The sequence below is a fragment of the Homo sapiens genome, chromosome 13 (assembly GCF_000001405.40).
Source record: "Homo sapiens chromosome 13, GRCh38.p14 Primary Assembly".
NCBI lineage: Eukaryota > Metazoa > Chordata > Mammalia > Primates > Hominidae > Homo > Homo sapiens.
In genome coordinates this window covers 51914119-51929544 of record NC_000013.11, presented here as the reverse complement: position 1 = coordinate 51929544, position 15426 = coordinate 51914119, and the positions used below count along the sequence as shown (strand labels likewise).

The 15426-nt window shown below is 48.0% G+C and overlaps 1 protein-coding gene across 2 annotated transcripts in view, besides 1 other annotated feature; it reads left to right on the top strand.

Annotated features, from left to right (window-relative positions):
* Positions 1 to 15426, top strand: part of TMEM272 (transmembrane protein 272) — a 121020-nt gene that overhangs the window by 4822 nt on the left and 100772 nt on the right. The gene's annotated exons all lie outside the window — the stretch shown is intronic.
* Positions 617 to 1816: an enhancer, noted in NCBI's record as "CDK7 strongly-dependent group 2 enhancer chr13:52501865-52503064 (GRCh37/hg19 assembly coordinates)". NCBI's record gives its function as "activates an origin of replication core promoter dependent on BRD2, BRD4, P300/CBP, MED14 and CDK7 cofactors, with strong dependence on CDK7, by STARR-seq in HCT116 cells {active_cell/tissue: HCT116}" and the evidence as "EXISTENCE:reporter gene assay evidence [ECO:0000049][PMID:35650434]".

Below are 15426 nucleotides of genomic sequence, written 5' to 3'. Positions count from 1 at the left end.
GTGTGGCTTATCTCAAGAGCCATCCCGTGTCTATCTGACCAAAACAACCTCCTAGTCTGCAGCTGGAGCCAATTTAATCATTTTTTATGCATCTAGAAATGCAAGTATCAGAAGGAAAACATGGGAGAAGGGGAAGAGCATGAGGCTGGAGGTTAGCCCTGCCACTGGATACCTCCATGCTACAATATATGCAACACCTGTACTAGCAGCCCAGGGTTTTAGAGCCTCAGATATGCATTTAGTGCAGAGTACATGTTAGGATGACTCGACAGTCAACGTATTTTTATCATCATGTGCATCTGAGCTTCATGTTAAATATTCTTGCAAGTTTATATAACTTTTTTTTTTTGAGATGGAGTCTCACTCTGTCCTCAAACAGGAGTGCAGTGGCACAATCTCAGCTCACTGCAACCTCCGCCTCCCAGGTTCAAGCGATTCTCCTGTCTCAGCCTCCCAAGTAGCTGGAACTACAGGCATGCACCACCATACCCAGCTAATTTTTGTATTTTTAATAGAGACGGGGTTTAACCATGTTGGTCAGGATGGTCTCGATCTCCTGACCTCGTGATCCCCTCATCTTGGCCTCCCAAAGTGCTGGGATTCCAGGTGTGAGCCACCACACCCAGCCTGGATAACTTTTTTTAAGGCTTGAACATTTTTTAAAAGAAAAGGTTTTTAAAGGGCTCACAGTATTTTTGATGGCTCCAAAGCTCCATGTTCTACCACCTGTGTTTGGGTCTACAGAACTCCACCTCAAACCCCTGGACAGAAATCTGTCTTCAGCAGTTGATTACAAAGCTAATACCCTGGTAGCTTAGAAAATAGATCCTCACCAAATCCCTGGGGGCCACTCTACAAACTGCTCCAGACCTCTATTTTCTCATCTGTTTGATAAGAACTGCCCTCATTACTGCCCTGAGCTAGGAGGTTGGAAGGGGCAGTCCACAGGAAACCTGCACACAAGTGCAAGGTACGCAGTGGTCACAGGCGATCTCAACAGGCAGTGAATGTGTCATGCCGTCTCCCTCAGATCATCCTACCTCTTCGCAGTTGAGTGCAGTCGGGGCTTCAGCCTTCTCATCTGCACAAATGGGGATAATAATAGTTCCTGTCTCACAGCACTGCCATGAGGGTATGATGAGGTCATCTGAGTAAAGCAATTAGAATAGTGCCCGGCACATCCGGAGTGCTCAAGAAATGCTAGCGGCTGTTGTCATCGTTGCTGTTAAGAGTGATGATGTCTGTATTCTAGGAAAAAACAAACAAACAAAACAAACCACCTCAGCCTTTGTTCCTGGAGCAGGTAAAAGCCACCTTTCTATGTTGGGCCAGAGGAAGTTCCTGTTCTGGGGCCTGCTGCTAGGACTTAGTGGACTGATGACAAAAGTTTGCCTTTAAAAAGAGCTGCGTTTGTCCAGTTACTGGACACCAGGCCAGACCCCCAGTTCTCTTGGTTCTTGGTGGTCTTTGCATGTGTCCTCCACCTCAGTGTGCCCTGGGTCCAGTGGAAGACCACGGAATGTAGGGGAGGTTAATAGCACTGGCTTTGGAGTTGGGGCAGACCCGAGTTCAAAACCCGACTGTACCCCTCAAGGAAGTCACTCACCATTCTGGGCTTCTGAATCGGTGTAAAATGAGTTCACTGCTGCCTCCGTGGCTTGTGAAGGTTAAGGGGAATTATGTACATAAAATGCCTAGCACGGTGCATGGCACACAGCAGACACTCATAAAAGGCAGTCATCATTAGAATGGCACTGATGGGGCATCCCCAAGTAGGGACTGGAGAGGTAAAAGCTCTCAGGGAGCATCTGGGATGGAATGGGATGCAGGCTCCTGGAAAATATTTATTGACCGCCTGAATGATGCTGGTGCACATTGGGGATTGAGGACGTGAGTGTAAAGGGTGCTAGTGAACAAGAGTGTGGAGATGAGGAAAGTGATGAGTTTTAATGTGGCATTTCAGTCTGGTTTTAGAAGACAGGACCTTATGTCATTCAGCCCACCTGCCTTATATTCAGTAATTCGATCATTTTCAGCAACCTTTTAAAATATCTTTACCTTTTCTCCAGGACAGAATTACATCACCTTTAGATATGAATTCCTAAAGAATGTACTAATTTTTGATTAAAATAGAACAATCTTGCTCTGCTGTTTCTGATGACCCAGCTTTGGGGGCTAAATATAAACCTAGCACGGTGGTGTGGTACTTCCATCACAGCAGCGAGTGGGCCGTGGCATCGTGTGAATTTAATCACAGAATAACCTGCTATTAATAGTTCCTGGGGTGGGGTGGGGAGCAGTGAGGGGATCGTCTATTTATTTATTTATTTTGGAGGAATATGGGTGTTTTATAAACTTCCATTTTCTCCTTCCTATTTAATGTTCGGAATTAATGCCAAAATCCATATAAGCTTAGATCCAGCTAAAAATGTTAACATGTATTACTTCTGGGAACCTCAAAGAAGCTGATATTGCCTGTTTGTGACTTAGGATACACTTACTTGGGTTTATTGGGGTTTCCTGTAAAGTATGAAGCACTAGATGCTTTAGGCTGGGGGCTTTGTTTTCCCCTTAAAGCTCCACCAATCTCTAGTTAATCTTTGTTTTTCTGAATAACAGTGTTTTATATATATGTTTGTTTTATTATTTTATTTTTTAAATTGATAGATAAAATTATATGTATCTATGATGTGCAACATGATGCTTAGAAGTATAAATGCATCACAGAATGATCTAGTAATGTTTTAATGTTACTTATGCTATCACTGTCAATTATCCTTGCTCCCTGTCCCACCTTAGAGCATTCAGAGGATAATTCCATCCCTCCTGCTCCCAGCATGCCCCTGTCCCCACCCACTGTGCGTGTGCGTGCGCGCACATGCACACACACCCACACCCACACCCACACCCACAAACCCGCCCCACCCCCCCCACCCCCAACCATGAAGGGACCTTAACCTGTTTTGCCTCTCACGGGCTCTTCCCTTCTTCCTGAGCCTAAACATTCAGGCTGCTCTAATGCTCCAGGGCTTTCCCCTGTGTCATCCATGGGTTTACTCTGATTACGCCCTCACCTCGGCAGTGGGGAGGACTAGTGAATTGTGTCCACTGCCCATGAAGCAGATCTCCTGGAGGGACCCAGGTTAGCTTGGCCTCTCCCAGCAAGTGGGAAGTCACCAGAACGGGGGCTGTGGAGCTGGAGGTGGCTTCATCCACAGTGAGTGAGGAAGAGAAAAGCCACAGCAAGGAGGTCACTGCGGGAGGGGCTCCCATCTCCAGGTCCCCAGGGAAGTCCTGAGCCCATGCTGAGCCTGGAAGGATTCAGGGAAGGCACAGAGCCTGCCTCAAGGAACCAGTGCAGGGAAGACAAGACACACACACATACACCACACACACCACATACCACGCACACATAGACACATACACCACACACACACACCACACACACCACATACCACACACTCATAGACACACACCACACATATATGTCACACTGCACACACCACATACCACATGCACCTCACATACATATATGCCACACATACCACATACACATAGACACATATGCACAACACACATACCTCATGCACATTTACATACATATATGCACCACACCATACACCACTGCACACATAAACACACTACTACACACACAGCTAATGACAGAAGGAGCTCCTTGTCTTAGGAGAGGGATTTGGTGAGGAGAAAAAATCATGTCCGGTCTCAGCTTTGGGGAGGAAGGGTGGCATCTGGGCTGGCACTGAAGTGTGATTTCATGGAAGAATATGAAGGTGGAGGCCTGGGTGGGTAAGGGGTGTTTAGGGGAAAGCCACATGGTCAGGGCAGAATGGGCAGAGTGTCTCTCCTTGGCAAGCTGTGGGAGGAAGTGTGGAAGGGGCATGAGTTACCAAGGAAGGCTCTGGTACACATCTCTATGCATCTCTGTAACTACTGGAACTGAGGGGCTGTCTGGGATGGCTCTATGTGTCTATATTTGTGTTTTGTGTGTAGGGGTGTGTGTGTATGTGTGATGTGTAGGGATGTGTGTATTGCTATTTATAAACAAACCATCTAGATTAGTACAAGGAAAGAAAAAAGTTAATTCCACCTTTGGTAGCATCTGTTCTAAGAATCACTTCCTTGTTTGTTTCAATTTCTATGGAAAGTGCTCACCGGCAGTACTTTTGCTGATGATGTAAGATGGCAATTAAGTGGAGAAATTATCAGAAAGCTGACACAATTTTCTGCTAGTTTTAATCAGTTTTAGAAGTCAGTCGATGAAATGTGATGTTCCTGCCAGGTGCTTAGCTTGGTATGAAATGGGACTCCTGTCCTCAAGCTGCTTTGCTAGGGGGTGCCTAGACGAAGGCAGTGGAGTTTTGGGAAAACAAATGAGCAACTAAGAAAGAGCTAAACAGTGGCGCATTCCTTCTAAGTGCAAGAGAAATTTAGAAAGGAGTAATGTCTAGTAATGCCAGGAAGGCTTCCCAGAGGAAGAGGTGTCAAGGGCCTGAGGTGCTTACGTGTGCTGGCTCGCCCCTTGCCAGCAGATCTTGTTATGTCAAAGGTTCTGAGAAGTCCTGCAGCGTAAAATCCGCATTTCCCAAACATACTGGTGGGACCACAGAATCTCTCCTCCCACAATACAGTTTATATCAGATACAGAGAAGAGATCTTCTGGGAATGCTGCTGAGAGAGGGTGAGAACTGAGTGAGGTCAGGCACAGGAGGGATTTGCTCGGGAGGGGAAGAGAGGGCTTATGGTCCAGGTGGTGCATGATTGTTGTATGCAGTGGGGGTGCATCCTGGCTGCTGGGGAGAGCGGGAAAGGGGATGAGTAGGCTGAGTGGGGCCACACTGTTTGGAGACAGGCAGAATTCAGGCAGGACGGAAGGAAGCAGGCACAGCCAGCAGTGCTCTCTTCTTTCTCTTCCACCAACTCAGGAGACTCCACCATCCCCTCTCTGCCCCATTCTCTGAACTGTGGCCCCAAGAATGCAGAAGTGGGGGTCCTAGGAAGAATAACAGGGCAGATGGGGGCTCCATCCCTAGACTCAACCCCACTGGCAGGATTGTGGAGACCATCAACAGACCCAGCACCCCCTCTCCTGGGACTGGGGGAAAGAGGAAAAGAGGTTTTTGTTTGTTTTTGTTTTAGAGAAGGGGTCTGGCTGTGTTGCCCAGGCTGGTCTGGAACTCATGGGCTCAAGTGATCCTCCTGCCTTGGCCTCCCAAAGAGTTGGGATTACAGGTGAGAGCCACTTAAGCCAGGCCTGAGGGGGTGTTTTTTTGGTTGTTGTTTTGTTTTAAACAGTGGGGGAGGAGAGTCCAAAGGACATCTGAATAGGGCGCCAACCTCTAGAAGGCCACCAGGTGGCCAGTCCCAGACAGGAATGACTAGAGGGCAAGGCTCTGGGGAGAAGCAGCTGTAAGGTGGGAGGGTAGCTGAAAGGTTGAGGAAGGCGTGGTTTTCAAAATTGATCAGGAGTAGGTTGTTCCTCCTCTTCTTTACCCAGCCCCAAGCCCTGAGGGTGCCTGATGCTTATTATTAACTCGAGATAATTCATAGAGCCCCCAAAGGGGCTTCGTCTGAGGGGTGCCAAAAGGCAGGTACCCACCTGGGGAAAATAGGACCAAACTGCTGCCTGTGGGTGAGATTTTCTCTTGAGGTTCACCTGCAATGAAACCAGAGTGCCTCCTAGCTTTGGAGGACAGCTGCTCATCTCTGCAGGGGTGGCTGAGGGCTAATTGGGCTTGGGGGATTGTCCCCCTGTCCTCTCCTCCCTTCTTTTCCCCTCCCCTCCCCTTCCTTCCCCTCTCCTCTCCTCCCCTCCCCTCTTGTTTCTTCTTTTACCCCCTTCTCTCCTTCATCTTCCTTTTTTTCCATCCCTTCCTTCTCTCCTCCCTTCTTTTTCTCTCTTCTTCTTTGAACAGGCAGCTTTGGAGCTGTTTGTCTCACCAGTGGCTCTCAAGTCCACAGCGCCAGCCCCAAAGCATCTGAGTGGCTGCCGGCACTTTCCACTGTGAGATGTGCTGCCTGAGGGTCTGGTGCTTGGCTGTGGGCTTTCAACCGATCTCAGTGTGGGTGTGGCACAACTGACACTGTTGCTTTTCCTGGCCTTAACAAGCCACCCATTCCATCGCCTCCCCAGGTGGCTGTGGTGGTGGCAGTGAAGCCTGTCAGGTCACAGAGCAGCTCCTCACCAGCCCATCGCATTCTGTCTCCGGAGAGGTCCCATCACAGGCGATGGGGCAGAGAGGACTGAGTCGCAGCCCAGATCTCAGTGTCTAGGACTGGACTTGGTTTGTCAAAAGTGTAGTCTCCCATCCCTGCTGGCATTGGCAGGCTGCAGTGCAGAGTGCCTAGGGCTCATCAGGATTTGCCAACAGAGGCTTGTCCAAGAATCATCCAGCCAGCTCCACGTGAGGTTACATTGCCATCACCGGACTCTGATGGAGGATTCAGACAGCCCACTCCATGCCTCCAGCACCACACCCTGCAGCTGGCAGAACAGTGGCCCCCAAGACATCCTCATCCGAATCCTCAGAGCCTGTGAAGGGCAAAAGGAGCCCTGCACATGTGATTAAGGGTCTTGACATGGCAAGAGGATCCTGGACCATGTGGGTGGCCCCAGATAATCACAAGGGTGTTTCTAAGAGGGAGGTAGGAGGATCAGAGAGGAGATGCAATGATAGAGGAAGAGGTTGGAGGGATGCGATTGGAGATGGAGGCAGGGCCACAAGCCAAGGACTGTGGTGGCCTCAGAAGCTGGAAGAGGCGAGGAATAGATCCTCCCTTGGAGCCTCCAGAAGGACCCAGCCCTGCCCACATCTTGATTTTAGCTCATAAGACCCATTTCAAACTTCCAACCTCTGGGACGGTAAGAGGACAAATTTGCATTGTTTTAAGCCATGAAGTTTGCAGTAGTTTGTTACAGCTGCAACAGGAAGTGAATCCACCCACCTAAGCTCTTCTGCAGGTGTGATCCCTGTCCCACAGGAGTCACTGCTGTCGCCTGGCAGGTTGAGGCTGCAGTGAGCTGTGATCACACCACTGTGCTCCAGCCAGGGTGACAGGGCCAGACCCTGTCCCCAAAACTAAATAAATAAAAATAATTTAAAAAATTACCGTGAAAAGTATCAACTGCTTTGTATATAGAAATACAACCCAGCAGTCCTGGGAACAGGAGCCTAAGCCTGGGCCACGCCCACCCAAGACTTCTCTGAAGAAGCCTCTGAAGCTGAGCGCATTTGGGAATCACTAGTGTATAAACAGGGCTCTTTTCTGGAGATGACCCTTCCTGTGTTTATCTGCCCCGTGAGTCATTAAGAAAAGGGCATGTGCCCAGCATTTCCCAACGAACTGTGAAACCTTTTTTCAAGCGATAACTCCTGCGGTTGGATGGTCTGTAAAGGATGAACTGATACGCCATCTCCACCCTCTGACACTCCCTGCTCAAGAGGCCAGGGCTGCCTGCAGAGAGGTGTGAGGGAGGAACAAGAAAACAAAGACGTTAAGTCTTGACAGTTATGTTTTAAAAAGCACAACCCACACGTATAAATGAGTGGAGAGATTGCATGATCAGGCTGAACCAACACATATCCCCAACACACACACACATACACACACACACGCACACAGTGGGTGGGGAGGGATACTGATGAGAAAGAATGTGAGAAAGATTACATCAGGTTGAGTTTCTGAGAAAATGCTTTGGACCTCCGCTCCCCAGCTGAGTGGGAGAGAGGGGAGAGCAGGGGGCACATGTCTGTGAGAAAAAGATGCTTGAGCCCCTTAAGTTCTGACGGCTTGAAGGTAGAGCAGACCATTATCCCCTTATGCTGCGTTAATGTCCTGGAAGAGGAGTTGCCCAGAGCTTCCCCTGTGGCCTGGGTGAGCAAAGGACAGGTGTTGCCTGGATGTGTGCTTAGGTGGGCTACTGACAGCAAGAGCTCCGAGGAAGAGGGTGCCTGGTGTGCCTTAGAGAGGCACAGCCCCCAGGGGTGCCCCACCTCGGTAGATTCCCTTGCCTGGAGGTAGACTTGCAGGAACTGCTCTGAGCTTAGACACTGAAGACTGAGGAGCAAATCCGCTGCTAGGCTGGGATGAGCAGCCTTCTTTCCTGCCCTTGGATCATTTAAGTCTCCTGGATTTCTGTGAGACTTTGGGAGCCTCCTGGAGTCCAGTAACAACCAATCTGTAATTTCCAGCCCAGTGGAATTAGAGACTGGAATAGCAGTTCACTAGAGACCCAGGTTTATGGATTGAGAGGCAAACCTGCTAGATATCCGAACGTCTGCTCTGCACCAGGTCTTGAAGGAAAACCCAGGGCTTGCCCCATCTCTTGCCACACACCTTACTGCTCATGGTCACTGCAGGTACTTGACAGCCTGAGAAATGTGTAGCCGCTTCTCCATTCTCAGATCAATGTCTGCGTATTGACCAGGGTCAGCACTCAATGGCTGCCTCCTGATACAGCAAGCTCTCTGCCTAGCTCCTCTCCCACCAGGCGTCGCAGAGCTGTGAATTGCAGTTATCACAAGCAAAATGAAATGAGTTTGAGCCTAAGGGGAATCCATAATTGGAGTGCAGGAATGTTGCAGTTTCACAGCTGGGCCTCAGGCACGATGGGGCAGAGAATCTGAAGGCCACCGGAAGTCCACTTGCAATAAATACTCATTAGGTGACTGTCGCAATTGTAGGTGAGGGATCTACAGCCAAGAAACGATTCAGACAAGGCTCCTGCCCTTCATGAGTTTACATTCTAGTGGAACAAAGAGACAGCAATAATAGGCAAATCCTGTCATTTCTGCCAGTGGAAAGTGCCATGAAGACACTGTAGCAGGACAGCAGGGTAGAGGAGGCAGTGATGAGAGGTGGGGAGGGGGATTGCCATGGGAAGATACTGCCCTGTGAGTGAGAAAGCCCTGAGGGGACCCGGCTGGGAGGGTCAGCACTGGTGCACATGGGTAGGATGGAGGGAGGCAGGAAGAACAGGCCCAGATCTCAAAGACACCAGCAGAGCAAGAAGTTGACACTTTATTGCAAAGCTGCTGGGAGACATTGGAGGGCTTGAAGGAGGGGCGTGACATGATTTGCTTCATGTGGTGAGTGGATTGTAGGGGAGTGAAGAGGCCATGCCCTACCCAGACCCTCCTCAGGGCTCACCTGTGCTGCCTGGCACAGAGCAGGAGTGGAAATACACGTTGGCTGAATTACTGTCAAAGTCTTATCTTTTCTCTGTCAAGTCTTAGCTGGCTTGAGACCATGTAGTTCCCTTCATCTGGAAAATGACACCAAATATTCTATAACTAGCTGTTATCAGACCCGTTTCAGGAGCAGTGCAAAATACAGGCAGCAGCGCAAAATACAGGCAGCAGCTCACATCTTTCTGCTGAGAGGTAAAACGCTTGCTGAGAGTATGTTCTTTGGTTGCAGGCATATACATTGCTATTAAAATGCCTCTTGGATTCCTCACTGCAACGTCATACCTGGACTTCCACAAAATAATTCCACGTATTGCCTAGTCCTTAGCTCCTGAGCCTGGTGATAGAAAGCCTCCCTCCCTCCTTTCCTTCCTTCCTTCTTCCTTTCCTTCCTTCCTTTTCTCCTTCATATTAATCCACTATGAGCTAGGCATGATGCATTAATAGCATAGAGATGAAAGTACTCACTTTCTTTGCTTGCATTTGAGTGGGGGAGTCAGAAAAGCAAACAAGCACAAGAAAATGTCACAGGGACGGTGGCAGGTGAGGAGAGCGACATGCTCACGCAGGTGCGCAGCAGGAGACCTGCAAAGGCAGGTCACCATGGCACCGTTTGCTCGGGACACAGCCGAGACGTCTGCTTAGGGAAGTGGACAGACAACTTGCGATGTGTGTCATAAGAGAAAGTATTTACTCTGCAGCATTCAGAATGAACCAACAGGATCTGTGTGTATCAATATGGGGAAAACACAGTGTTGAGTGAAAAAAATTACAGATACTTAAAGAGTCATGAAGATTAAAAAAAATAATTTTATGTATTGTTCTAGACACCAGTCTCTGTGGTCAAAGTACAAACATGGTCTGGGGCTATATACCAAGTTCAGATCGGTGGTTTCCTATGGGGAGCAAGAGAAGAGAATGGGGTCTGGGAGAGGTGTGTCGGGGCCTTCAGCTATATTTGTAACTTGTTATTTCTAAAACTATGAAGCAAATGTACCAAAATGTCAGCACTGGTTAAATCTGGGTAGTGGGTCAGGGATTTTGTCTTCTTATTCTCTGTATTTATATACATATTTAAAATATGTGTAAATTTTTAAAAATACACGTGGGTCTGGTGTTTGTAGAGAGGGCAGGACTAAAGCTATAGCATTGGCTCACCTTCACAGCAGGCTCAGGTGAATCAGTGGGCTGGGGAGTTTCACCTGGGCCTCGGCACTGGCCACTGGCACTTCACACAGAGGCGAGCAAGGGCCTTGGGAAGCACTTATTTTTCACAAAGCAGGTAGAGAAAGAGAAGGAAAAGATGGGAATAGGAGGTTTCAGAAAGGAGCAGAGCCAGGAGAGATGTGTCATAAGGAGGTCCAGGAAAGAAAAATAATTTCTAATTATGGGGCCGGTCATGGTGGCTCATGCCTGTAATCCTGGCACTTTGGGAGGCCAAGGTGAGTGGATCACTTGAACTCAAGAGTTCGAGACCAGCCTGGGCAACATGGCAAAACCCTGTCTCTACAAAAAAAAAAAAAAAAAAAAAAAAAGAATTTCAAAAATTAGCCAGGCATGGTGACGTGTCCCTGTGGTCCCAGCTACTTGGGAGGCTGAGGTGGGAGGATACTTGAGCTGGGGAGGTTCAGGCTTCAGTGAGCTGTGATTGCACCACTGTGCTCCAGCCTGGATGACAGAGCAAGACGTTGTTCCAAAGACTAACTAAATAAATAAAAATAGTTTTAAAAATTACATGGAAAATGTCAATTGCTTTGTATGTAGAAATACAGAGACTAAGAGTGAATCCCCATATACCCACCCTGAACATCTTGAATTAAATAATTGTCAAGGTTTTGCCATATCATTTTTGCTTCTTCTATTCCTCCTTTTCTTTCTTTTTCTCTTTTTTATTTGCTGAAGTAATTTAAAGTAAATCCCGGATGCCATGTCTTTCCACCCCTTCATACTGCCTTGTGCAATTCTAAAATATCCAGACACTGAGAAAGATTTTTAAAGCGGGAAGTGTCAGTCACATTAAATGTTACAGATGACTTGAGATGAGGACCAGGGGGCTGTCAGGAAAGTTCCAGGATGGAGAACAGCTGAAGGTGCAGAGGTGGCAGGAGGAAGTGCTGACCCCCAAGGCATTGCTGGAATTGGCACTAGGAGTTCACAGAGGGCCTTCGAGAGAAACATTCAAGAAATGCCAATCATTATTTTGAGAACTGTGATGGTAAAGAGGAGAAGGAAGATCACCTTTGAGCATGCAGGGATGAGGCACAGAAATATTTTTAGGATGGAGAGAGATCGATATTTGGAAGCTCAGGTGACAGGTATGAAAAAGGAAGCAAAACTGATGGAAGAAATTCCCAGAGGGACAGAAGGGAATGAGAGGACACTGGGATGAATCTCTCAATAAACAGGAAAGAAGTTACTGAAACATCTAGAGGTGGGAGGAGAAGGGCGACATTCTTGGAGGACACTGAGTTTGCAGTTTGGGACGTGAGAATTCGGAACTCCCTGGGGCAGAGACCAGGGTCAACCCAGAATTGTGATGATATTGTGATTTATCGGGTAGCTGCTGCAGGCACTTTTGTCATCTCGTTTAAGCCCCATCAATGCATTTTGCAGCTCAGAAACGTGAACTCAGAGATGTTAAGTAACTTAACTTGCCCAACACATACTTAGTAATTAGCAGAATTGCTTTTAGCGCAGAGCCCTTCTACACAGCCCTGAGGAACACTGTCCTTAAACCACAGGACTCGCTGGTAGCACCTGTCCTCAGTAGCGTGTGGGTTTCCCTAGCATCTCCCAGAAAACAGCTCACTGGATTGGCTCAGGTGTGTAAGGGTACCTGGATATGTGAGCAGGGCAGGGGTGGCAGAAGATGGAAGATTCAGGAACCTAGGGGTGCCTGTCCATCTTTGTTCTTGAATTATATTATTTCCTCTGGAATTCCTGCTTCTGCTCTCTCCCTCTTTCCTTCTGTGAGCACCCTCTCTGGGTGCTCAAACTCCTCCTTGTCCCCAGCTACCCCCAGTCTTTTACTCAGGCTTAATAAAACTTGTCCTTCACCTGGCAGCATCACATCCCCACCAACCTGCTGCCATTTGTTGAGAGAGAGAGACCTGGGATGTCGCTGGTCCACTGGCAAGTCACTTAGACGAGGAAGGAACGGTTGCCCTGTGGAGCTCCATGGTGATGTTTGCAGGTGCAGTGTGGGACTAGGAGGTGGGTGGGCTGGCACCCATAAGTCATATTCATGGTCTTTAGTGAATGTCCGCCTGGTCAGCAGATGGGCAGCTAGGGCTTAAGCCCACAGGTTAGCGTTAACGGGGCCTTACTTGTCCTCCTCCGCATAAGGGAATGGAGAAAACACTGGTGAGCGAGACAGACCTGAGTTTGGATCACCTCAGGTGATCACGCAGCTTCCCAGAGCCTGAGGATGCAGTGAGAATGATGCCGGAGAATGATGCATGGGAATGCTCACGGGGTGGAGGAAGAGTTGAAGGGGTAGAAGGGTACTGAATTCTTGCTGGTTTAATTGAAGGGGGAAAGAGTGTGTTTAAATAGGATTCTCAGAAGAAAAATCACTGAGGTAAAATAAATTTTACATGGATGATTTAAAAGATGAAACTTAAGGATTTCTTGGATAACTGACCTGAGGTGACCCTGAGGGGCTCTGGGCCAATGGCGCCCCAGGGAACCAGGCCCTACCTGGGATGCAAACCTAGGAAAGAGGGCTGGGTCAGTCCATGCTCGGATGGCTGGAAGGGCCAAATCCAAGCCAGCACCTGGCTCCATGTGGCTCCTTTCTCTAAACTAAAATGCAGACTAAAATAAGACGTTTTCAATAAGGGAAGAATGCGTTGATGATAGCTACCACTTGTTGAACCTTAAATATATGCCAGGCACCCTGATAAGTACATAGAAACCCTTTACATATCTATTCTCCCCAGCTCTCACACAGCCCATATGTAAAATACTATTGTTCCTGCTGTTTCATGGAGAAAGAACTGAGACCAGAGTACAGAGGCCATTCACTGGGCCGTTCACTGGGCTGTTCACTGAAGCTTCTCCCTCAAGGCTTCTGTAATGCACAGGAAGGGGCTCTGGAAGGGGCCCAGCCATGGGTTCTCTTGGTCATGTGTTTTGCAAGTTTTGCAAAGTTAGTTATTAATATTTCACTTGTAATTGGTTTAGATAGGTTTCTTCATGCCGGTGTCCCCTCCAGCACATACACGTTCCCAGTGTTAAGTGTCAGTGATTTTTTTTCTTCTTTTTGAGAAGAGGTCTCCCTCTGTCACCCAGGCTGGACTGCAGTGGTGTGATCTTGGCTCACTGCAACCTCCGCCTCCCGGGTTCAAGTGATTCTCCTGCCTCGGCCTCCCGAGTAGCTGGGACTACATGTGCACACCACCACGCCCAGCTAATTTTTGTATTTTTAGTAGAGACAGGGTTTCACCATGTTGGCCAGGAAGTTCTCCATCTCTTGACCTCGTGACCCGCCTGCCTCAGCCTCCCAAAGTGTTGGGATTTACAGGCATGAGCCACCGCACCCGGCCACGTGTCAGTGATTTTAAGGGGAAAAGGTCATTGAGTTGGGCATACAATTAGTTTGAATGAGTGAGATCTATTCAGATGATTTGCTACCACTTCTGTGTATCAAGTGCTCCCTGTATAGGAATGACTTCCAGGACCCAGGACTACTCCCACTGTCCACTTCGTGACTCACCCAGGGGCATGGTGACAGGGGCGTGTCTCTGCGTATATGTAGAGGAACATGAACAGTAGAGGAACCCCAGATCTGTAGCATGTGGAGTTCAAAGCTACTCTGGAGAATTCTCCCAATTATCTGACATGTAAAATTGTTAGCAGAGTTGATTCTCATCAACAAAGGTCTCTCTTGTCAGGAACATACTTAATGTGGCCTATATACTTTTAAGCACATCATGCATTGTTTTCTTTTTCAATGGCAATTCCAAGAAATACAATTCACTGCAGCTATTGTATCTTTAGGGCAGAAATTAATAGTAGTGCTGTATCTAATGAGTATGTCTATGCGTGAAGTGGCATATTCTACACATTCCAACTATCGATAATGAAACATTTCTATCAACCTTGCTAGGGAAAAGGCTGAATTATCTTTTATGAAATCATAGCCAGATGAAAAGTCAATCAGAGCCCCAAAGCACAGGATAAAAGTATTGCAGAAGTGTATTGGTTGATAAAAACATGAAATGATTTTTCTTTATTGTTTACTGTTTTTGCGGTACTTTCCAGCTCTTCAATATTTGTAATTTGCCGTGAAGTATTTACATTCTAAACATCACTTTTGTACCTAATTTTGTATTTGTAATTTTATATCCTTCTTTTCTTAAGGAAAATACTCCAGATTGTATAAGATTTAGGCCCACAAAACCTGAATCGATTCTTGACAGAGTAATTAAGTAACAGCCGAAATCACAGCCACTAAATGGCCAAGCCAGGATTTGAAGCTGGAGTTCAAACGTGGGCCTCAAAAGGGCATCTTGGACTCTAACATGTGCCCCTGGAGTCAGGGTCTTGTTAAAGTTCAGATTCTGACTCAGTAGATGTGGGCTGGTGCCCAGGTGCTGTGAGGCTGCTGCTCTGTGGGCCACACTCCGAGGAGCCAGGATCTCTCAGCTAATGCACTCTATGGCCAGCTCTCAGACAGTGCAATTAACCATTGCCACTCAGGGAGGTTGTGGGAGTTGCCCAGAGTAGCAGAGTCAGAGGCTGAACTCACAGCTCCATCGCCCGCCTTACATGGTGGCAGGTGGGCTAAGTGGGGAATCCCAGGAGTCAGCTCTGGGTCCCCAAGAGGAATGTCCCTTCCAGCCCCTGTCCCCTGTCCCTGAATTGGCCTGAGATGCTGCAGTCAGTCTCAAGACCTGCAAGGTGAGCAGGAGAACACTGGCGTTTCCATTGCGACAGACATACCTGGCTGACCTCTACTTGCCTGGCTTTCTCCACCTTGGTGACAGTGCTGCTCAGCCCTGCTAAGCGTCAATTTCCCTATGTATTAAACGAGCTTAATATGACCCACCTCATCGAGTTATTCATGGATTAAATGAGGCATTATATGACAAGTTACACGATCCAACTCTGCATGTATTGGCCTGTAGCACCCGTGGAACTGGTGATTGTTGTTCCTGAGCTGAACTGACCTTGGGAATCAAGTGACTTCTTCCTGCAGCATGTACTCTCAGCTTCC